We start from the raw sequence: 25380 nt of genomic DNA on the forward strand, positions 1-25380 counted from the left end.
GAAGCTTAGCATAGTTCTTCTCTACATGCCAAAGATTACAGTGGGAGATGTTCCCACAGAACTGAATTCAGAGAGAGTATTGGGACAGGGTTTGAAGTAGGAAACGCCAAGTGTCAGAGTGCCACTCTGAAACAAGCTGGGGCCAATTATAGTAATGAGGGTCAAATTGCAATAGCAGCCAGGATTACTGACATATAGAGCCATAGCAATGTCAGATAGAGCTCAATGTTCACAGAAGTAATATAGAGAGCCAAAAAGGGTGCTTCCACTTCTGTGCTGTCCTTTAACAACTGGTGGAACAGAGAAAAACACACACATAACAAGCTCTGGTTTGTAACACCAGCTGATTTCCGTGATGTAATTATTCCCACCATTGCTGATTTCAAGGTACCCAGGTGACATCACTGAACACACAGAGTTGGAAATAAATATGCAGTAGTACAGCATTACGTATTATTTTCACTATACGGATGTAACAGATGTTAATAATTTCATGCATGGATAATAGCAAAATCTTCTAAAAATCATCACAAATTGATGAGTTCTAAGTATTTATTTTATTAGCTTGGCATTAGGGCCACAATGACTCCAAATGTCATGACCCAGGTTAGGTTCCAGCCCATGCTGAGGTCTGAGGGGAGTGGGTGGATGGGCGATAGCTGAAAGAACACTTGGGGGCCCTAAGCAGGTGAAATGTAGTTTTATTTACCAACAGCGACTCTCTCACACTGTCTGCCTTTATCTCCGCTGTCTGCTCTGGCTCTGGGACTCCTGCCGCCGCCACGCCTGCAGCAGCACGCCCTGGCCTGCAAGGCCAGCTCTGTCAGGATTAGCAGCTTAACTCTTTCCCTCTGGGCACAAGCTCGTTCCTGGTTCCCCTCTGCCTGCCTTCAAGGCGACTGGCTCTCCCTTACAAGGGTCAATAGTGCTACTCTCTTTCTGGGCACCAGTGCGAGCCATGTCATGCCATGCCACGCCATGCTGAGCCAAGGCAAGCCCAAGAGCGCCTGTACAGCATCAGCAGGGCAGTTATACCTTTTCCAAACAATAGTGGATTTGAGCCAAGTATGAGCTTACACAAACAGGTTATATAACAAGTGGAGTTATATGCCTGCACTCCAAACTCATTAAGTCACTATGGCCTGGATGTCTGCCTCAGCCTACTTCTTGACCAAAGCACATTTATGCACCTTACTGTTGGTGCAAAAGTTACTTTAGATAATTTTTAAAAATAATGATGTTTAACAATTGGCTCGAGAACCCTTGAAAATTTAACAGTCAGCTGTATACCACTGACTTTGCTGGACATGTACAACGGGAAAGAAATCAAGGGTGGATTACTAGTAGGCTAAGGGCAACCATGTACTCAAAACGTATAAACTATTACCCTAATCTAGTTTGGCCCAAGCCAGTTTTCTGACAGAGGACCCAATAATGGGAGAACTCATCCTTAAAAAGAAGCCCTCTTCAACACCAAGACTAGAGTAAATGGTAAGTATTTCTCCAGTCCATCCCCAGTGCGACTTATATTAGGCTTCTCAAGCTACCATAATGAAATAACATAGGCTGGGTGGCTTAAACAACAGAAATTTATTTTTCATCATTCTGGAGGCTCAAAGCCTAAGATCAAGGTGCTAGCCAGGTTAGTGTTCAATGAGGTCTCTCTTCCTGGAGCCGACTACTGCCTTCTCACTGTGTCCTCACATGACATTTTCTCTGTGTATGTGCAGAGAGGGTATCTTTCCCTCTTTTTATATGTATACCAGTCTTATGAGATTAAGGCCTTACCCTTATGACCTTATTTAACCTTAGGTTCCTCCTAAAGACACTCTCTTAAAATATAGTCACACTGGGGGTTATGTCTTCAGCATATGTGTTTGGATAGGAGCACAAATCAGTTCACAACAGGATTCATGGCCATTTATTTGAATAACTGGGAAAAAATCCAGGACATACATTTCTAGGATTACAGAATGCAGATGTAAGTTGACATTGATTCCCAAGAAAGGATCATGACCCTCCTGTTAGAGTAGAAGCTTATGGAGTCCCAGTAATAGAGTATTTGCTTATGTCTGGTTCACAGTAGGCCCAAGGACTCACCCAGTAGACATTCTTTGGTCTTTGAATACATAATGGGACACCACATACTTAAGAATTGGTACAAAGTTCACATTGGTTCCTTGGCCAGCTTGGTATGTACTGCGGTGAGAAAGACCAAGGCTCCTGAAACTGCTCCCCTCCTCTCCACTGGACATGATAGTCAACCCAAAATAATTCTGCATTATAGAGCGAATGACAAAGGTTATTGCCACCCATAAATACCTCAAAGACACAAGGATGCTGGTATCCATTTACCTCTATTTTATTCACCAGTGCAGCTCTGACAAAACTATATGGATTCTGGATGATGACAATTGATTATTGCAAGCTCAATCAAACAATAATTCCAAGTGTAGCTGCTGATTTAAATACAGAATACTTGTTAAAGCAAATTACCCTATGCTCAGGTACAGAAAATATGGCCATTAATTTGGCAAAAGAATTATTTTTTTATCTCTTTTAACAAATGAGTACCAAAAATATTTGGTAGTTATTTAGGGCTGACATGAGTAGACACTTACATTCTTGCCCCAGGTCTGTTAACTGTCCCACTGTCTATCATAATATAGTGAAGAGACCTGGACTGCTTGGACAGCCTACAAAATTTAACTCTTGTTCACTGTGCTAATGACAGTATACAAATTGAACTAGATGAGAAAGAAGGAGCAAGTACATTGGAGACATTGGTAAGATGCATACACTTCAGTGAGTTGTGAATACAGCAAAGATTGAATGGCCACTGCATCACATCAGTGAATTTTTTTTTTTTGGACAGAGTCTCATTCTGTCGCCCAGGCTGGAGTGCAATGGCGCAGTCTCGGCTCACTGCAAACTCCGCCTCTCGGGTTCATGCCATTCTCCTGCCTCAGCCTCCAGAGTAACTGGGACTACAGGCACCCGCCAATTTTTTTATATTTTTAGTAGAGACGGGGTTTCGCCATGTTAGCCAGGATGGTCTCAATCTCCTGACCTCGTGATCCACCCGCCTCGGCCTCCCAAAGTGCATCAGTGAAATTTTTATGTTTACATGGGTTTGGTGCACGCCAGGGCATCTCTTTAAAAAAATAGAGGACACAATGTCTGGTAGTCTTCATTGGATACTGAAGGGCCATTGTTCGTACTTGGAAATAGAGTTCTAACATACATATTGGTGTGTCTGGAATTGGTGGGTTCTTGGTCTCACTGACTTCAAGAATGAAGCGGCGGACCCTCGTGGTGAGTGTTAACAGTTCTTAAAGGCGGCGTGTCCGGAGTTTGTTCCTTCCGATGTTCGGATGTGTTCAGAATTTCTTCTTTCTGGTGGGTTCGTGGTCTCGCTGGCTCAGGAGTGAAGCTGCAGACCTTCGCGGTGAGTGTTACAGCTCTTAAGGCTGCGCGTCTGGAGTTGTTCCTTCCTCTCGGTGGGCTCCTGGTCTCGCTGGCTTCAGGAGTGAAGCTACAGATCTTCGCTGTGAGTGTTACAGCTCATAAAGGCAGTGTGGACCCAAAGAGTGAGCAGTAGCAAGATTTACTGCAAAGAGCAAAGAACAAAGCTTCCACAGTGTGGAAGGGGACCCCAGCCAGTTGCCACTCCCGGCCAGGGCAGCCTGCTTTTATTCTCTATCTGGCCCCACCCACATCCTGCTGATTGGTAGAGCCCAGTGGTCTGTTTTGACAGGGCGCTGATTGGTGCGTTTACAATCCCTGAGCTAGACACAAAGGTTCTCCACATCCCCACCAGATTAGCTAGATACACAGTGTCCACACAAAGGTTCTCCAAGGCCCCACCAGAGTAGCCAGATACAGAGTGTCGATTGGTGCATTCACAAACCCTGAGCTAGACACAGGGTGCTGATTGGTGTGTTCACAAACCTTGAGCTAGATACAGAGTGCCGATTGGTGTATTTACAATCCCTAAGCTAGACATAAAGGTTCTCCTTGTCCCCACCAGACTCAGGAGCCCAGCTGGCTTCACCCAGTGGATCCCGCACCTGGGCTGCAGGTGGAGCTGCCTGCCAGTCCCGCGCCCTGCGCCTGCACTCCTCAGCCCTTGGGTGGTCGATGGGACTGGGTGCCGTGGAGCAGGGGGTGGGCCGGCACTGCTGGGGGACCCAGGGACCCAGCACACCCTCTGCAGCCGCTAGCCCGGGTGCTAAGCCCCTCATTGCCAGGGGCCGGCAGGGCCGGCCGGCTGCTCCGAGTGCGGGGCCTGCCAAGCCCACACCCACAGGGAACTCGCGCTGGCCCGCAAGCACTGCGCGCAGCCCCGGTTCCCACCCGCGCCGCTCCCTCCACACCTCCCCGCAAGCTGAGGGAGCCGGCTCCGGCCTTGGCCAGCCCAGAAAGGGGCTCTCACAGTGCAGTGGTGGGCTGAAGGGCTCCTCAAGTGCCGCCAAAGTGGGAGCCCAGGCAGAGGAGGTGCCCAGAGCGAACGAGGGCTGTGAGGACTGCCAGCACGCTGTCACCTCTCATTAGGGGACACAAAAGGCTGCAAGGCTCCCATCGTGGCCCAGAGAGTAAACATGGACTCCTCCGCAAATCTGGCTGCAGCAGAAGCATCTCTACCACTGGAGCCATGTAACTTACCGCACTGTGTAATACCAGAGGTATCAACGGTGAGAAAAAATTTTGTGGAATTTATGGCCAAGTCCTAACGGGTGAAACATAATTTCTACTGATCCTTTGAGTCCTAGAGCAATACCAGGTCAATTATAGCTAAGCATTTATAGAGCTTTTGTGAAATAGCTCCTGGCATGCTACTGGACCTTGCAGAAATAGATTACTTGGATGTGAGTCAGCAGGCATCCGTATGTTCTGAACTGCCATTAATAAAATGAAACCCACCCAGGCGCAGTGGCTCATGCCTGTAATTCCAGCACTTTGGGAGGCCAAGGCGCGTGGATCACTTGAGGTCAGGAGTTCAAGGCCAGCCTGGCCAACATGGTGAAACCCCGTCTCTACTAAAAATACAAAAAATAGCCTGGCGTGGTAGTGGGTGCATGTAATCCCAGCTACTCAGGAAGCTAAGGCAGGAGAATCACTTGAACCTGGGAGGCAGAGGTTGAGTGAGCCAGGATTCCACCATGGCACTCCAGCCTGGGTGACAGAGCGAGACTCCCTCTCAAGAAAAAAAGGAAAGAGAAACCTGTAAGACTCACCAAATATAAGTTCAGGCACTCCCAGCAGCAATTCATTATATGATGAGATTGGTATATCCAGAATCAGCACAGGCAGATTCTCAGTGAAAAGGCAAGCTGAAGACCCCTATGCCAACCAGAGAGCACAGGCAAGCTTCAGAAATGATACTAATGATACTATCCAACTGTTTCACTGGCACCTCTCCCTCGGCTCATGTCTATGGCTGTTTAAGATATTTCCTATTACCTGCTGATAAACAAGGAATAAAGTTTAGTTGGTTCTCAGAAAGGTCTGTTTTGGATGTAGATGAAAGCTCTAATTGGACGATGGTTACACGACAGCACCACTAACTGAGCTTCATAAGACAATAAAAATAACTCACATTTAAAACATATATGAACTCCTGGGCAATGGGTAACATGTGTCTCTGTCTCTGCCACTGGAGTGAAAGCTCCACGAAGTCATGAAATCAGAGGGGTTTATCTGTTTTACTTGTTGATGTATTCTCAGTGGTTAGAACTGTGGCTGTAGCATAACATATATTCAAAAAGTCTTATTGAATGAATCAATATACGAATGAATATATACAGAGGAATAGTCATAAATACATTAGTAACAGAAAATGAACAAGGCACAAATAGTTAACCCATAACAATGCATATACAGTCAGTGTATCCAAAGTTGTCTAAACACAATGAAAATCCAAGAAATCTAAAGTGAAACAATGCAGCAGCCTATCAGATTAAAAATGTGTCTATAATCACTTGAGCTCAGGAGTTTGAGGGTACAGTGAGTTATGATGACACCTCTACATCCAGCCTGGGTAACAGAACAAGACCCTGTCTGAAAAAAAAAATGCCCATTTAAGATTAAAATGATAATCTGGTATGGGTGTGGGAAATTCTAAATTTCAGAAGCGTAGAAGTTGTAACGTTTCTGGAGAGAATGGAGACTTCCTTTTATTAACTAATTCATACATGAGGATATGAATTTTGTAAAAGATGCACATTTTCTATGTCTATTTTGGATTTGTGGGGCATCAGATTTATTGAGTATCTCAACCCTTAAAGATACTCTTTTGTTTTATATGGGCCAAGGGGAGAGGGCAAAAGGAGACTAAATGCCATGAAGGAATAATGTCAGCCCACACGGAGTTTGAGCCAAGATGATGGCTTTTAAAATGGGAAGTAATGAATTTACTAGGGAAATACGCAGGGGGTTAAACTGACAGAACTTAATTACTAACTATATAGAGAACACTGAATAAATCTATAGTTTGGGAAAAACATTAAGATACAAATTTTAGACATCTTCAAGTTTTGATACTCTAAAATATTTCAGCATTCAATCCCACCAAATCTGTTAGACCCATACTGAGAGAATTGGCCCAGGCATAGAAGGTAAAGGGAAGAGAAGTTTCTGAAGGTACTTGATGGCCCTTGGGTAGAACTGAGGGGTCTGGCGCCCAGGATGGAGGGTGGGGGAACAGTTTTAAAGTTGCTACCTTTTATACAGTGAGGAGGCTAGGCAGTCATTGACCACCTTCTCTCTCCTTTCTACAGCCTCCTCCAGGCTTTGATTTCCTCTCTTCAAGGTCAGTTTTGTGAACCGATTTTTTAGGAGGATGGGGGGATGGAGAATGCTTTTGTGAGGGAACCTGGTGACGACCTGCTGTGGCAACTGTTCACTGTTGACTATAGATGTATTGGGAGATGCTACAGCGGAATCAGGCTTTCTGATATCAACGGCAATAATTTGATTCTAGAGGTCAAGGGGTTGCAGTTGCCACAATAAGCCAGAGGGAATGATTAGTAATCAGAGTTTTCATCCACAGAAATCTGTGACAATGATTAGCTGATTTTAAGTTTTGGGAAATGAAAAAAAAAGAAAAGAAAAGAAAAACAAACAAAAAAGGATATTTCACTAAGGAGCTGCTTGATATGCTAAGGAAAATTACATGTATGTTGCCCAGAAACTTAGCCCGTATTTTCAGAGAGGAGATTCATTGTGTCTTACCCAATCCCCAGACTTCCATATAGTTAGTAGGCAAAGCTCTTCGCAGACCAGGAACCACTCAACTGGGGAGGAGGTAGGTTTGGTCTCTTGGTGAAGGACATTGTAACATGGCCACAGGTGTAATTATGATATTTATTCCCCAACACCTAAACCGGAGGAAACTTCAGTCATTTTCTTGAATGACTATACACTGGGAAAAAGCTGAGAACCTGTGATGGTTTCCGGCTTGTATTTACAAACAGAAATAACAAGTATTTCTTTGCTGCCTTGCCCAGGTGTATGTCAGCTCTCCTGATCTCTGTTATAAGATGGCCCAGAGGGAACTAAATCATCTTGATATAGCTCCCAATATGTTATACCTCAGAACTGGTTGCACACAATAGATTCATTACATTGATGCTATCATGCCAACTGTTCCTGGTGAAAAGTAGGCAGTAAACCTACTACATATTTTTATAAGACATATGTTCACCACCATTAACTTGATCCAACTTGACCACTTTGACCCAATGAACCCTATGTTTAGAAGTGCACAGAAGCATTTTATCACAAACATAATTGTGCCATTTTGGAGGCAAGGCCTGAACAGTTCCAAAGAAGCACAGTAAACTGCATGAGCAGATGGCTCAGACTCCGATGGCACATGTTCGCATTCCTTTGCTATCTCCACCTCAACCATACCTATGACCCGGGTTGGGGATGGAAAAGAGGGTTCTGTACGATCTTACACTGAAGTAGTTGAAAAAAATAAGTTTATCAGTGGTTATGTAAAATACGGCAGCTGGAATAGATGCCACACTACAGTCCCATTCAGGAGAAGACTGTGAAAGACAGAAGTGAAGGTAAGTCTTCCCACTGAACAGAAGTTTGGACAATATGTCTGGTTGTGAACCTAACAGGAAGGATAAGCACTCAGAGAAATACATCTAAATCATCTTATCAGAAACTAATAGGTGAGATGACTTGTCGGAAACTCAAAAAGAACAAAATAGAAAAATGAATGAGAAGCTAAGAGGTACATATAGAGATCATGCAGAATGGACGCGGCGTGTGTAAATATTCATTCCCATGTAAATACTCACAAGTGACATCCAGTGTTGAGGAGGAGACTCAATAATCAGGTGAACACAACATGTGCTGTGGGAAACAGTCAGCCACCTTCCCCAGACACTCGGTGTTAAATCAATGGATTGATATTGAGTGGCCACGTAGCAGAAACAGAACCATTAGCATGTGTGTGTGTGTGTGTGTGTGTGTGCGTGTTAAGTGAAATATATATAAAATAAGGAATGTGATTATGGAGGCTGGTAAGTCAAAATTCTGCAAATGAGCATGGACAGACTGGGTACCTAGGAAGGCTCAATTCAAATGCAAAGTCCACCGTCTGTAGAATCAGGAGGAGCTAATGCTGCAGATAGTCTGAAGGCCATTGCTGGAGAATTCTCTCTCACTCAGGGAAGACAAGTCTTTTTGTTCTATTCAAGGCTCCAACTGACTCAATAAGGCCCAGTCACATTACAGAGGAGGCAAATCTGCCTTACTCAAAGGTCACCTATTTAAATATGAATCCCATCCAAAAACACCCTCACAGAAATAAGCAGAATGATGTCTGATCAACTATCTGGACTCTCTGTGACTCAGCCAAGTTGACACAAAATAAACTGCCACACCTACTGAAGGAAAATCTGCCTGGCGTTTTCTGAAAAACAAACAAACAAACAAAAAAGTTTAAAAAGTTAAATTCTTTGCAAGTGATTCCGATTTTCACTAACTTGAGACTTGCTGATCTTTTATTTTCCTATTTTTGTCCCATCTAACCATCGTTATTTGGACTCTACTAGTCAAATATGTCCCAAATAACAAAATTGCTATTTTAACTTTTTTAATTTGAATTTTTATTTACCTAGACATTTGTTCTGTTTGTTTAGAGATTATTTGTTTTATTTTATTTTTTCTCTTACTTTATTATAAAAGACATGAAGGAAGGAATTATGTTTCTAATACACCGCACACAAGTGGCAGGAACACACAAGTCCATTTGTTGAAAACAGTGGAACACACTAGCTACCTTTACCTTGAAATTCACAGAATTGTAGCCAGATATTAACAAGCTTATATCCATTTTCATTTACCAACACATCCTGTGTGGTTTTAGACATCTGTGTCTGAGTAAATTTTGACTATTTTTGGCCTTCCTTTTAGTTTTCTTTTAGTACCTTGTGCCAAAGAGACATATCCAAGGTTGAGATTAGTTTCCATTTTCTTTGTACTATTTTCTGGATAATAAGACATTAGACATTTGAAGAGATGGAGAATGAAGATGGGTATATGACGCTGAGTTTCAAGAATCGTTGTAAATCGAAGCAGAAATCTAAAGGTAGGAATACTGCTCCCCATCACCGCATTTAAAATTTCATTATTCTTCTAGGAAGAGAATTATCTTAGAATATTTTTAACATCTTAACATTGATCATAATAAGGAATATAAAAATGGTCATAAATTGTCTGTTAGATTATTTAGATTCATGAAAGCATCAACAATAAAAAGTCTGCATTTTCAGAGCCATGAGGTAAGAGAAATGCGAATATGACGATGTGTAATCCTGTGTGTTGTAGCATAAGAACATCACTTTCGAAGAAAAGGCTGAAAAATTGTGTTTTTACAGAAACTTCCTCCTACAAAACTTAAAGTTTATATAAACTTAAAGCGTATATATATGCTTATATATATATTTATGCTTATACATATATAATATTTTTAATCTTCGTAAAAGCCCTATAGGATTGGTAGAACAATCTACTGGGAATGCGAGAAGAGAGAAAAAAAAACAAAAAAACATTAATCTTTGCTCCTTAGGGCTGCTCTGTGGTTGGCTTTGTTTGCTTTTTCAGGAATTTTGAAAACAATCTTGTTGAAATAGCCAAGACCTAAGTTAAGATGACATAGGCCAGAAATTCAGAATTACCAGTCGCAGTGGCAGTTCTGCCATATGTATTGAACATTCTCGTGTACAATCTCATTTTATATCTAGCAAATGCAAACTTCCCCTGCACCCCCTGCCCCCACAAAATGACACTTTTGTTATTATCTGAAGACTCAGATCTTTTTTGTGTTTCAATATCATGAAACAAATGTTTACTTTTTCAATAGTAACTTACTTCCATGCAGCAAAAACTAGTACCATTGGTGTTAAATTGACTGAGGCAGACCAGGCACGGTGGCTCATGCCTGTAATCCCAGCACTTTGGGATGCAGAGGTGGGCGGGTCACCTGAGGTCAGGAATTCGAGACCAGCCTGGCCAACATGGTGAAACCCCGTCTCTACTAAAAATACAAAAAAAATTAGCTGGGTATGGTGGCGTGTGCCTGTAATCCCAACTACTTGGGAGGCTGAGGCAGGAGAATCGCTTGAACCCGGGAGACGGAGGTTGCAGTCAGCTGAGATCATGCCACTGCACTCCAGCCTGAGTGACAGAGCAAGACTCCATATATAAAAAAACAAAAAAAATTATTCAGACCCTAAAGCCCACAGACTAAATGTATGGCTCTGGGCAGAAGCTTTTAGCCTTCTTAAATCTCAATACTTTGATATATAATAAGAAAAATCTACCTGATGATGCTTTTATGTGGATGTTAAACTAAATTTACTATTTTTTAATCTATAAACTACTTTTTAATATACAAATGTGTACAGAGACTTAAAATCTGAGTATTGATACATAAAATATAAGATAATATCCATTTAAATTATGAATGAAGGAAGGATAGGGCTGGGAAAATAAATTGGGCCAGAAAAATTACTGTAGGCATGTTTGTGCTTGCTATACATTTGCTTCCAAGCTTCCTTGTTATTACTGACCTAAGGGAATTCTTACCAGTTGTTCAGTTCACATTGTGTATAAGATAAAGTTACACCTATTCCTTAAGATTGATATAATTAATCTTGATCCTAAATCAGAAAAAATATTTTCCTGAGTTCTCATGAAGCACATAAAATAATACAATTAGTGTTCTTGCAATAGTAGCACCAGCAGATTTTGTAAGACAATTTCTTCATATAGCCCTGTGTAAGCCAATGGCATCTAGCCAAGCAGTGCTAGGATAGGCCAGCATACTGCACTTCATGTACTCAGCTCTCTGTTCACCTGGCTTGATATAGTATGTAAATCATGGCTTACATGAAAATATTAATTTTTGGTCTATTGTTCAGTTTTTTATAAATCTTATTTGGCAAGAAGTTTAAAGTCTCCCTCCCTGGCATGTATGGAAAGAGCACTTGTTAACTACAGATCCATATACCCTTGATTGATATTTTCTCATAAAATTGCAGAAATGTATTTTGACGATTTTCAATTAAGTAGAAGTCTTTCCATATTTGCTTGAACAGCAGAAATATCTACAGGGAAGAAAAAGAAAGAAAATTATTTTGGACTTAGTAATACAGACAATTGAGTAGCAAATTTCAAAAGGTACACTACATACAGTAAATTCTCTAAGTATATACTATAGATCTAATCAAATGCAGTAAATCCATAAAACCTATTGAAGTAAAGCATCCACACAGAAATTAGATTTGAGAAACAGCACTTTTATTATGACTTAGAAGACAAATTATTTGTGAAATGTACAACCAAGGTGATGAAATTAAATGTTTGTTTATAGATAAAAGAATAAAAAATAGGGAATAATTATCAGAGTATCTCAAATTACTTTGCTTTCTCTTTGGCCACTAGCCTGGCAAACTGACTAAAATGATTGTAGATTGAGATATTAATTATATGATGTCTGCATATAAAAGGAACCTGTCATAGTTTTGTGAAAAAAGTGTATACATCCAATTTATTCAAAAGTGCTAATATGTGGAAAAAAGTAGATAAAATTGAAAGAGGATTATTATACATGCCCCTGTTTAACCTCTCTAGAGATTACTTGTTTATTCCTTTATAAGGAAGCTATTCTTGCCAACTCTAATGCGATGAAATACTATAGCATAGATGTCATATAAGCATCATTAATTGGAGATCTAATACTACCTAAGCTGAAACTGACTCCTGTCTAAAGAGTCAAACCCAGAAAAATATAATATATTACAGGTGTAAGGTGAAATAAAATGTGGATATTTCCAGTACAGTGACTGGTATATAATAGAATTTTAATAAATATTTCTTTCCCTCTTTTATTTCTTAGCAGTGAGTCACTAAATTGAATAACACACGTAATTGTGCCTGACATAGATATATACATTTTATATATTATTCTTTCTATATAATTTACATGTATAGAATAATATATATGTTTACATTGTATATATTTATATTTTATATAATATGTTATAACAAATATTTATATCATATATAATATGTATTTGTATGTATAATTTATATGGAATTTAAGACATCATTTTTAGGTCCTCAAAAACACCACCAAATAATTAACAAGTCTATGTCAGTACAATCCAAAACGTTTAATAATAGTAGTATCTCCTTGGTTTGGGATTCTAGACTTTTTATTTTTAGATTTTCATTTAATCATAAATTCTAATGACATATCTAAAATGAACATGAGTTGTCTCTGTAATAAAAATGAAACAGAAAAATATTTATAAAGTGAATAATCACAAGAATTCTAAAATTCAACATTTCAGATTTCTCCCTATATCCACAATATTATTGTCTTCTGCTCATATTTGGATGCATTGTGATCCTTATATTCATTATGACAGGGATTGACCTGAAGTTCTGGCGTGAGTAGTAAATTTTTATTTATTTGAACATTTTCAGAAGATAAATGTTGATCCTTCATTCCTCTTAATGCCAAGATAAACTCTACACTGTAGTCCAAAACTGGCATATGTCATATTATAAAATTATATTAAATTTAAAAAATTAAATGCTCAAATGCAAGCTTGGTATTTATTCTGCATCTTTTCTTATAAAGAACCCCCAATAGAGGTTGACTTTATTATCTTATAATTAAAAAAGTAATGTATCTTTACTAAAAGAGTATGTGCTCATTGGTATCACTTTGTGAGATCATTATTTAAGTATATATATATATATATTAAGACCCATCTGAAAACCATTTTAGGTAGACTTCCAGACTTTTTTCTTCCTGAAGTGGTACTTATATGTGTATACTGTAGCTATTCTATTTGAACAACCAAAGAAATTCATTATCTTTGATTTTTCTGTCTTGCTTTTAAGGCTGTGAGCTCAAATGAGTAGTGTTTTACATATAACATGACAGGAAATAGATTTTGGGGGCTTTTGAGATGAGATTTCTAAAAATAGGTGAGTCCTAAAGCAACTTCTGTAGCGTAGAAGATCCTTTACTTCTTAATAAAGGATCCATATTTGTATTGGGCAATTGGGCAATTTTGTGTTTTTCCCAATACAACAAGGGAAAATATCAGACTTTTCTCAGACCAAAGATATATCCTACTTAATGTATTTTTTCTCTAAATATCAATCATATACCTCAAAATTGTTCAATGCAACATTGAAATCAATTACTAATTACCTGAAAATGTCCACTTATTTAACATTCAATGTTAAACGACTATTTTTAGTCGTTATGAATCTATCTAAGTAGGTATTGCTTTCTGTTAACCAGTAATTCTAAGAAGTTGAATCCACTGTAGTAATTACTATGGCTTTAAAAATGTTCCTAAAATTCAGGAGATAATTTCTTGTTAGACACTGAGTATGACCTTTACAGGCCACTCTGCTCTCTTGTAAATCAGTTTTCTCTTCAAATAAAATATAAATGGTAAAATGACATAAATAATGCAATAATTATTCTTTTAAAGAAAAACGCTATTGAGAAGAAATCAATGAAATTTGACATGTTGATGAATTACTAGTAGTAAAAATATTTTTTTCTAGCCATATTTTTTATTCTAATAAATTAGTAACAATTACAATATGTGTGTTTCTATAAAATTTGTCCTTGGGTTTTGACCAGTTTAAAATATTCTTCATGGCTTCCAGTCAAAATGGAGTATTGACCATAAATATTTATATCTCCTCTCTCCCAATAATCTATCCATAGAAGAAGAAAAGATAACAAAATAGAGTAAATTAATCAAAGCACATAGAATGGAAAGGGGAGAAAATTTTAAAGAAAATGAAAAGTGGATAGCATAATGCTATTGGATAAATCAATGGGGAGAACCTTAGTTCAAATAAAGCATAAAAGACAGCTGCAGTGTAGATGAAAGCTGTTCATCATGGTTAAGCTAAGGCAGGGCTCCATTTCAGAGAGGAGAGTCAGAGGGTAAATGGAGGTCTAAAACAAGGTAATTCTTTAATACATACAATGCTTATTACCAATTAAATTTAAAAATAACTTTTGAAAGCCAAAAATATGAAGCAAACTAATTAAGTGAAAGACTTTCTAAGCCATGCTCTTTTTGATTGGTGTCTTGTCAATCTGTCGGTCTATTTACACAGTGGATTTTGCCCCTATATCATGCAAAAAAAAAAAAAAAAAAAGAGAGAAGAACTCTCTAAAACAGTGAGATATATAGATAGAGCCAGGTAGAGCTCCTGATTTATGGACTGGTGGTCGGTGCAATAAGGTGTATACCCACTTGTTTTGGTTTTGGAGTGAGAGAGGGGAGTAGTGTGTAGGTCTACTACATAGCTTGGCTATTTCTTGTGCCATTTCTTCTGAAAAGTCATGGTAGCTAACCAAATATCCCGGAGCACAGAGCAAAATGTCAGAAAAAAAACATAAATAAATATAAGAGGATATCTGAGATGGAAAATCAAAAAATGCCTATTTATCCAGAAAGGTCAATAGCTCTTTTAACAAGCTTCCAGAAGAAGAAAATAGGTGAAAAAAAGTAGATATAAAATAATGAAAAAAGTAATATAAACCATTTCTCAAGAGTAAAAGCAAAACCAAAAAACATGAGTTTTCAGCTTACAAGAACCCACTAAGTTCGGAACAGAATACAAAAACAGATAATACATAGAAAGAGATGATAGATTAGATAGATAAAGATAGATAGATAGATAGATAATTTCAGAACACCATGAGTAAAAATATAATCCTAAAGGGTTTACATAAATAATTAGTTTTCCCCCAAAGCAAATTAGCATCAGATTTTTAAACGCACCTAAAAAGATTCTACTGGAGCAATGCCTTCAAAGTTATGAGCAATCTTGATTTTAACTTAGATTTGAAACAAGAGTAATCAAGTAAATATTTTTTCCATTCATTGTTTTGGAATAACAACAGCAAAAAAGAATGTGGGAGGTGGGTGGCTAACTTTGGATAGAATGAAGCTAGCCCAAGAATATAATTAAAAGACTTTTCAAATTAACAACTGTTCTGTTTTCCTAGCTAGCAATTAATTCTGTCTATATGAAAACAAACTATAAATAATGCAACTAGGAAGCTGAAGGAACTTGATGATATGGTCAAAAGAGTTTTTTTTTTTTTTTTTGGTCTGCAACAAGGGAAAATAAGATCAAGACTAGGCGTTGGAGCTCATGCCTGTAATCCCAGCACTTTGGGAGGCCAAGGCAGGTGGAGCGCTTGAGCCCAGGAGTTCCAGACCAGTTTGGGCAACATGGTGAAACCCCGTCCCTAATAAAAAAATACACAAAAATTAGCTGGGTGTGGAAGTGTGCGCCTGTACTCCCAACTACTTGGGAAGCTGAGGCAAGAGGATGGCTTGAGCTCAGGAGCCAGATGTTGCAGTGAGCCATGATGGCCCACTGCACTTCAGCTTAGGTGACAAAGCCAGACCCTGTGTCAAAAAAAAAAAAAAAAAAAAGTTAAGAATAGTAATAAAAATGAAAAAAAAAAAGAAAACAGAATGTCAATTAAAAAGTCCAGTGAAAAAAATAATATACAAAAATGTAACATCATACATGAAGTCTAAGATCTCACATAATATTTAGAATTGCAGGCCGGGCATGGTGGCTCACACCTGTAATCTCAGCACTTTCGGAAGCCGAGGCGGGCGGATCACGAGGTCAGGAGATCGAGACCATCCTGGCTAATATCATGAAACCCCATCTCTACTAAAAATACAAAAAATTAGCTGGGCATGGTGGTGCGCGCCTGTAGTCCCATATGCTCGGGAGGCTGAGGTAGGAGAATGGCGAGAACCTGGGAGTCGGAGCTTGCAGTGAGCCGAGATTGCGCCACTGCACTGCAGCCTGGGCAACAGAGTGAGACTCTGTCTCAAAAAAAAAATAAAAATAATAAAAATTAAAAAATAGAATTGTGATTTGCACTTAAAGGAGTAAAAACAGATATGGCGAAACGTAGTTAAATCTGGGGAAGAAGAGGAGTGGATGCATAGGAGAAGAGAAACTCACAATTTTTATTAGTATGCCTTCATTTTCTGCTGGTACTTTATTCTCATGTACCTAGATTGCTATTGATTTTTAAATGTTTCTCATATCTTTTCTTTGCACTGAGTACAGATAAAAAAATGGATTTCTCCCAGAATGTAAACGTCAGCAGTCTATCAGGTAATACTCTTTTTGTTTGTTATGTGCTACTCTTAGGGGTAAATTTAGTTTTGGCTTCCCTCTTCCTGGCGTTCACCCATGTTACACAGTAAGCCAACAGCACTGGTGGAGAAAGGTATGGGGCTGAAAAGGACATCCTCTTCCTCAGTGCCATTGCTGTGTATCAAATGGTTGAAAGGCAGGACAATTGTGGTGATTTCTAGGAGGAAAAAAAATAGGGTTTTAGTGAGTCAACAACAGGATGATAGTGGATTTCCTGCCATACCTAACTTGCCAAATATTTATCGAGCATCCACTGATAGGTGTGACATGTAATGGCTGCAGGCTGTAGTGCGAAGAGTGTGGGCTTGAGATAGACCTATGTTTGAATCAAGAGATTTCAGCCAACTGTTCACATGAATTTAGGCAAATTAAACATAGTTTTTTAAACTTTCAAATGAGGATATTATAATAATAACTGTGTCACAGAATATTTCATGTAGATTAAACAAACTGTGATGATTAATTTTCTGTGTCAACTTGGCTAGGCCACCATACCTAGGCAGTTTGTCAAATACCAGTCTAGATGTCACTGGGAAGATATTTTTTAGATGAAATTGGATTTTGCATTTGTAGATTTTGAGTGAAATGGATTATCCTCCATAAAGTGGGTGGATCTTATCCAATCAATTGAAAGTCTTAGAAAAACTGCTGAGGTCCCCAAAGGAAGAGGAATTTTGACCTCCAGACTTCCTTCAGACTGAAGATATAATATTAATTTTTCCTGGGTTTTCATCCTGTTGGCCTATTCTGTGCGTTTTGGACTTGCCTGCCCCCACAATTATATGAGACAATACCTTAAATCTCTCTCTATATGTGTATATATATGTGTGTGTGTGTGTATATATATGTATATATATACATATATACACACATATATACATATATGTAAATGCCATTGGTTGTGGCTATGGAGAACTCCAATACGGTAATACAGTGTGGAGGCAGTATAGTGCAGTGGATAAGAACATAGGCTATAGAACTAAGCTAACAGAGTTAGAGTTTCAGTTCTGATATTTATATGCTATATCAATATATAAAGTTAAATAATCCCTATGTACCTCAATTTCTTCATCTGTAAATTGGGGGTGATAATGACACCTACTCAATAGGATTTTATTTTTTATTATATACTTAAATTTTTATTACATAAATATACATGAAAGTAGAGAGAATTGTATAATAAATCTTCTTGTACCTTTAAAACAGCACCAATAATTATCAATACATAATCAATATTTTCCATCTGTATCTCCACCATCATCACTCCCTCAAACTAGATTATATTAAAGTAGTGACTAGATATTATACCATTGAATATTTAAATACTTCAATATGTGAATCTTATAGCTAAAGGCTCGTTTTGCTTAACACAATCACAATCTCACTATAACTCCTGCATTTGTTTTTGATTGATATATAACAAATTACCACACAGTTGGCAGTTTTACAACATATACTTGTTACCTCACAGTTCCCACGAGTTGGGAGTCAGGGCACGTTTAATTAAGTCCTCTGCTCAGGGTCTCACAGGCAATGCAGTGTAGATGTTGGCCAGACCACCCATCTTTCGAGAGCTGAGGTTCCTCTTCCAAGCTCTCTCTTACGGTGTTGGCACAATTATTTGTGGTTGTAGGGTACAGGTTACTGCTTTCCTTCTGGCTTTCAGCTATGACTCCTCTAAGCTTCGGGAGGCCTCTGCATGCATTTACCACGTGTCACTCTTGTACACCCTCCCGAAACATGGAAGCTGAATTCTTTAAAGGCAACAGGAGTTATCTCTCTCTTCAGGAAAGGCCTCAACCCTCTTTCATGGACTTACATCTGATTAAGCCAGACCTACTTGGGATAATCTTTCTTTAGATTAACTCAAAATCAACAGATGGGGACTCTTCTTTTGTTTTCAAAATCCCGTCATCTTGCTGTCTAACATAACCTAATCATGCAAGTGATATTTCGTCATATTCACAGGTCTTACCCATAGTTATGAAGAAATTACACAGGTCATGTGCACCAGAGGCTGGACCTATGGGGTCATTTTGGAATTCTGTCTACCGCAATTCCTAACAAAGCTAGCAAAAACTTCTTAATATCCTCTAATAGTCAGCATTAAAATGTCTTTTTTTCTTTTCATTTGATTTCTTAGAATTATAATCAAAGACTTTAATTGCATTTGGTTAATATGCCTCTTGAGTCTTAATTTATAGACACTTGTCCCCTCCTTTTAATTTTTTTTTTTTTTGCCCTTTATTTGTCAAAAGGTAGGTCATGGTTGGGCACAATTTCTCATATTCTGAATTTTCCTTTTCATATCTTCCTGGTGTCATTTAACTCTACAAAGATATTTTAGAAACTAAGTGTATATAAGGTGCTTAGAAACCTGCCTGGCCCACGACAATGGCTATATGTGTATGTTGTTATTATTATCTAAAGCATCTAATAGAGCAGTTGATATAAAGAGTTGCTCAATAAATGTTTTTCTCAATTTTCATCCTGTATTTCTTCTTCTTTTAGAAGATGGGACTTAAATCTGAGTTACCTACAATAACTCTTTTGGACAGTAAGTGTCCACATCTTGCATCTTCTGGTGTTTTACAATGCTACACTCATCATTTGGAGTATTTCCATTGTGTCTGGCAGCACTCCAGTGGTACTTCATTGACCAGTCTGTCAATATCTACATAATAAAATTATTTCATCCAAGTGGCACATTCTCACTAGTAATAGTTAATAAATATCCCCTCTCAAATCATAACTTGGGAGGTATATGAGAGGTCATTTTATACCTTTTAGCAAACAACTATGTATTTGTACAACTGAAATTACAATTTAGTTATCCTGAATCTTTTCAATTTTTTTTAAATTACAATTTTTCAGCATTGGCCACTCTTGCCCGGATACAGCATGTATTAATGAGTTAAGAATATATATGAAGTTTCATGAATCTAAATTTAGGTCATAATAACCTTCTTCAAATTATACTTGCTCAGGTTACTTTTTTAATCTTAGCTGGACATATAGTTTAATTTCTAAAAGTAATTTTTAAATAAAATTTTAGGGTCATAGTTGACAGACTAAAATATTAATGAAAATATGACATGTTTTAACTTAAAAATATTTAATCCAGCCATTCAACATTCAACAATAAGCATTTATTATATACAAAATACTAAATGATAAGAGAGTCAAAGATGAATATGACAGTCCCACCTCACAAACCTTCCAATCAGGTGGAGGATATGGAGATTTTTACAAGTGAATAGGATGTAAACCATTTGTCCTTTGCTTTAGCAAATGTATCAATTATGATATCTATGTGTTGAGTCTTACAGATAGCAGAAATTGACGGTTCAAGGCTTCCTTTTTGAGGTGGAAATATAACTGTATATTAAAGAAAAAGTTAGCGGGTAAAGAAGGAAGAGGAGGCTATTCAAGACTAAGGGAACAGTATGAACGAAAAGCACAGGAGAATAAGTACCCAATGCATCAGTAATAGTAAGTAATCTCACAGACATGAAGTGCAGGTTGTAAAGACAATCTTGAAATGTCAAAGGAATTAGAACCAGATAGTGGAGGAAATTAAATAATAAGCTTTTACTTTTTCAGTTGGTAATTAACTGTCAAAAATGTTATAATTTGCTTCCTCTGATTATGGGGATCAGAATTCACAGGCTTTGTTCTCCCCTAATCCATCATCCAAAACCCTGCCCGACTCCTGGAAATACACAGGTTAGTAAATTATTCTCATTTTACAGAACTGCTTTTTTTTTTTTTTTTTTTTTGAGACAGAGTTTCGCTCTTGTTGCCCAGGCTGGAGTGTAATGGCTCGATCACGGCTCACCGCAACCTCCACCTCCCAGGTTCAAGCGATTCTCCTGCCTCAGCCTCCCAAGTAGCTGGGATTACAGGCATGGGCCACCATGCCTGGCTAATTTTGTATTTTTAGTAGAGACAGGGTTTCTCCATGTTGGTCAGGCTGGTCTTGAACTCCCGACCTCAGGTGATCCACCCACCTCAGCCTCCCAAAGTGCTGGGATTACAGGCGTGAGCCACCGCGCCTGGTCTGAACTCCTTTTTATTGACCAAAAAAAAAAAAATGAGTTGGAAAAATCTATTTTCCAAGTAGTCACATTTGATAATATTTCTATCTTCCCTGTTGGCTGTAAAGTTTAATTAATTTTCCCCTATGTTTTCCTTTAGGACACAATTACTTGTGCCCAAATGACTGGCTGTTGAACGAAGGGAAATGTTACTGGTTTTCAACTTCTTTTAAAACGTGGAAAGAGAGTCAACGTGATTGTACACAGCTACAGGCACATTTACTGGTGATTCAAAATTTGGATGAGCTGGTGAGAAATCAAAAACAGGATCTAACTGCACAAGGAAAAATGGCTTAGGTGCAAGTTCACTGCCTAAGAAGCTTGGGAGGTTTATTGTCGTTGCTTCTGAACATGTGTTAGCCACAATGTAGTCACTATTGTTCATGAAAAAAATGCTAATGTATATGAAAAAATATATTTTATTAATGCCGGCACAGAGACTTACACTATAGAAGGCATCAAAATTTTTTTAAACAAATGAATGAATAAATGCACTATTTCTTCTGCAGGAGTTCATACAGAACAGTTTAAAACCTGGACATTTTGGTTGGATTGGACTATATGTTACATTCCAAGGGAACCTATGGATGTGGATAGATGAACACTTTTTAGTTCCAGAATTGTGAGTAGTTATTTGTAAGGGAGGGGTGCTAATGTTTATAGAATTATTTTTATATTAAACTTCTTCACTTTCCATTCTTTTTTCCTTCTTTCTCTGTTTTCCCTTATCTTTACATTTTTTTCTACTTTTTCCCTTTTAGCTCTCTCTTTTCTTTCCTTCCTCCCTCCCTTTTTTTTCTTTGCTTCCTCTCTTCTTTAACATTCACTAATTTTGAAAAATGGGATGGAAAGTATTCATTTTGTCACCTGGCAGTTTAATTGTCCAAAATTCATAATAATTTTTAAATTTCTAAGCTGATTTAAATCTCATTTGAAATAATTTTATGCAAATACTTCTCATGTGGTAAAAGCAAAGACAAAATTCACCTATAAATAAAAGCTGGAATGTGTAGAAAGGTCTGGAGTTGAAATCAGAAAACATGAATTTAAAAACTTTGCCCTTCAGAAATTCAACTAAACTTGTTGATATCCATTTCTTTTTCTTTTCTTCTCTTTCTTTTTCTTTCTTTCTTTCTCTTTCTCTTTTTTCTTTCTCTTTCTCTCTTCTTCTTTCTCTTTCTCTCTTTTTCTTTTTCTTTCTTTTCTTTCTCTCTCTCTCTCTCTCTCTCTCTCTCCCTCCCTTCCTTCTTTGTTTCTTTCTTTCTTTCTTTCTTTTTTTTTCAGCAGAGCCTTGCTCTGTGGCTCAGGCTGGAGTGCAGTGGCATGATCGTGGCTTACTGCAGATTTGACCTTCTGGGCTCAAGCAACTCTCCCACTTCAGCCTCAGAGTAGCTAGGACTACAGGTGTGGTGCCATCACACCTGGCTAATTTTTTGTATGCTTTGTAGAGACGGGGTTTTGCCATGTTGCCCATGCTGGTCTCCAACTCCTGAGCTCAAACTATCACCCACCTCAGCCTCCCAAACTGCTGAGATTACAGGTGTGAGCCACCACTCCCAGCCTGATACCTGCTTCTTTATCTGTATAAAAAGATCCACGATACTTTCTTCACATTGTTCTTATGTGAACAACATGAGGTGTTGCATGTAAGAGTGCTTTCAAATTCTGAAGGGTCACGTTTAGACATTTTCTTCTGTGCTTTCAGTTACTAGTCATACTACCAAAACACTTGAGATGTGGTAAGTCTGGAGCAAAGGCCATGGAGTCATAGTTCATTTCAGTTCAGATATTTATCTACTCCTGGATACATCTATTCTACATTTATTATCATCCTTCATGAGCATAAAACTAAAGGATGAAGTAGTATCCATTTCCTGGACCTGCTTTTAATGCAATATTTGAAAAAAAGTAAGATTTATTACTAATTTTTATTATAATTAATATTATTTTTTACTTTTTTGGAAACCAGCATTACTATAAAGGTAAAATATCACTTTTAAAAGCTTTTATCTTATCATTTAAGGAAAACAACACACATGCAGGTGGTTATAACAGTGTTCAGTCTGTATTTTCTTAAATAATCATTAGTAACTAGAAAGAATAGTTTACAAAATAGCTCTCTTCAAAGGCATTCCATTTATACATTGCGCATCATCCTAACCTTATACTGTGGAAGTTATATGAGGAATTTAAGAGTCATCTAATAGGTTTTACTTTGACTTAAACAAAATCTTGGGCGACTGCCTCCCAACTCACATCATTATAGCATACCTATCACTATGTAGTTTCTATTGAAAACGTTCATTTTGGCATCTACTTACCTACAAAAAATTATTTATGCTGCTATGTGGAGAATTAATAGATAGGAAACAAAACTGAAATTATGGAGGTCAGTTCGAAGGCTATGGCTAGAGATAAGGGAGAGATAATGGTAGCTTGAGTCTAAATTGAGAAGCTGGGAGAAGTGAATGGTTAGAAGAGATAATCTGGAAATAGAATACTCAGGTCTTGCAGGCGTAGATAATGAGAGGTTTGAGAGGTAAGGAAGAAGCTGGGATGTCTTCTAGTGTAGCTCAAGCTTGCATGGTGTTGTTACCAAGATAGGAAAGAGGAGAAGAGGCTGCATTAGCAATGAAAATTCCATTCTAAAACCTCTGCAAAACTTTGGCTGCTGAAGAATTACCTATAAAAGTTTGGCTGGAGAAAACTTTAAAAGATACTATTATCATTTTAAGATAAATGCTGAAAAATCTGTCCTTTGTCTCTTAGGTTTTCAGTGATTGGACCAACTGATGACAGGAGCTGTGCCGTTATCACAGGAAACTGGGTGTATTCTGAAGACTGTAGCTCCACATTTAAGGGCATTTGCCAGAGAGATGCGATCTTGACGCACAATGGAACCAGTGGTGTGTAAATGTACAACCAAACATAGAAATACTTTGCATGTTAAAGCAGAGCTAGATTTTAAAGACTTAAGATTTTTAGATAAAGTTTCTAACAGAAAGTTTCTGCTAACAGACATCATCTAAATAGGAGAAAAGTATTTTATCCTGAATTGACTATAAAGACAACTTCTGAACAGAACTTTTACTCTATACTTGGATTTCTGGTTTGTCTTTTCCATGGCATTGACAAGAAAAGCTAAATAAAAAATTAGTAATTATTTTAATAGTTATTTAATAGTTTGATTTTTTTGCATTTAAAATAGCATAGAATAAAACAACTTTAAAGGAATGTTATTTAGCTATATGTGCTATGTGGTAGATTGGAAGGAAAGAAGCAGTATATGTACAAATATAATATTTGAAGCATGGAATTCTGAATTTTTCATCTGTGTATTATAGCCTGAAGTGTTTGGTGGGGAGTGGGTAATGAGAAATTACCTACTGGGTATAATGTACAATATTTAGGTGATGGATAAACTAAAAGCTCAGACTTCTCCACTTTGTGATATATCCATGTAACAAAATTATGCTTGTACCCTTTAAATGTATTCAAATAAAATAAAATAAAGTCATGTGGCCAAATATTCAAAACAAAAAAAAAAAGCAAATCCGTGCATGTAAATTAAGAATTGAAAGAAATATGTACGGATGTTAACACTGCCTATTCTTTTTCTTTAGTGAAATACAAATTTATTTCTTTTCCTATCCAAATATAAAATTTTAATGTAATGCTTCTAAATGAAAAAACTACAATAACTTGTTTTTATTTTTAATACATGTCTTTATTCTTTAAAGCTTTATTGAGGTCAAACTGATATACAAAATATTGCACATACTTAATTTTTACTTTCTGGTGAGTTTGTGTACACTTGAGATGCCATCACCACAGCTAAGGTACTAAATGTATCCATCACCTCCAAATATGTCCTTATGTTCTTTTGTGTCTATCTGCTTTTATTTTTATCAGAACACAACACGAGATACAGTCTCTTAATTTTTTTTTTTTTTTTTTTGAGACGGAGTCTCACTCTGTTGCCCAGGTTGGAGTGCAGTGGTGCAATCTTGGCTCACTGCAACCTCCGCCTCCCAGGTTTAAGTGATTCTTGTGACTCAGCCTCTTGAGTAGCTGGGATTACAGGCATGCACCACCATGCCCAGCTAATTTTTGTATTTTTAGTAGAGACGAGGTTTCACCATGTTGGCCAGGCTGGTCTCGAACTCCTGACCTCAAGTGATCCACCCGCCTCAGCCTCCCAAAGTGCTGGGATTACAGGCATGAGCCACCGTGTCTAGCCTCTCAATTATTTTAAAGTGTGCATTACTAAATTGTTAATAGTAGGTACTATGTTGTAGAAGAGATCTCTAGAACTTATTCACCTTGCGTAAATGAAACTTTCTGTGCTTTCAGCAGCAATTTCCCATTTCCCTTTCCCTCTACCCCCTGGAAACTAGCATGCTATTCTCTGTTTCTGTGGGTTTTATTTTTAACAGAAAAACACAAAACCCTATTTTTTCAGTATATTAAAGATTAAATTTAATCTAATTCTGCCTCTTTTTCTGCGTATGTGATG

General features: G+C 37.8%; 2 protein-coding genes across 5 annotated transcripts in view; one reads left to right on the plus strand and one right to left on the minus strand.

Moving 5' to 3' along the window:
- Positions 1–5686: 5686 nt before the first annotated feature.
- The window catches only part of CLEC2A (C-type lectin domain family 2 member A), a 54629-nt gene continuing 34935 nt past the window's right edge, over positions 5687–25380 (minus strand). Inside the window, exons 5-7 of one of the 4 annotated variants that reach the window (XR_007063076.1) lie at positions 9450–11630; positions 8316–8932; positions 5687–5742 (exon numbers count right to left, since the gene is read on the minus strand). Coding sequence is in view for 1 of the 4 variants with exons in the window: in XM_011520657.3 (XP_011518959.1) it covers position 11630 (1 nt within the window). In the remaining 3 variants the exon portion in view is untranslated. Of the gene's footprint in view, positions 11631–25380 lie in introns of all 4 variants that reach the window. The other 3 variants (XR_007063074.1, XR_007063075.1, XM_011520657.3) reach the window with 3 other exon arrangements.
- Positions 9434–23778, plus strand: KLRF2 (killer cell lectin like receptor F2). Its single transcript, NM_001190765.1, has 6 exons — positions 9434–9610; positions 12879–12977; positions 16678–16725; positions 20965–21113; positions 21374–21486; positions 23634–23778. The coding sequence occupies exons 1-6, from the start codon at positions 9541–9543 to the stop codon at positions 23776–23778; spliced, it is 624 nt and encodes a 207-aa protein (NP_001177694.1). The 5' UTR covers positions 9434–9540.

Source organism: Homo sapiens, chromosome 12, assembly GCF_000001405.40.
Source record: "Homo sapiens chromosome 12, GRCh38.p14 Primary Assembly".
In the NCBI taxonomy this organism is placed as follows: domain Eukaryota; kingdom Metazoa; phylum Chordata; class Mammalia; order Primates; family Hominidae; genus Homo; species Homo sapiens.

Excerpts from the sequence above, each read along its gene's own strand:
- KLRF2 (NM_001190765.1), top strand. The coding sequence starts at position 9,541 with ATGGAGAATGAAGATGGGTATATGACGCTGAGTTTCAAGAATCGTTGT. Across the intron at positions 21,114-21,373 it reads TTCAAAATTTGGATGAGCTG|GAGTTCATACAGAACAGTTT; the intron begins GTGAGAAATCAA and ends TTTCTTCTGCAG. Across the intron at positions 21,487-23,633 it reads CACTTTTTAGTTCCAGAATT|GTTTTCAGTGATTGGACCAA; the intron begins GTGAGTAGTTAT and ends TTTGTCTCTTAG.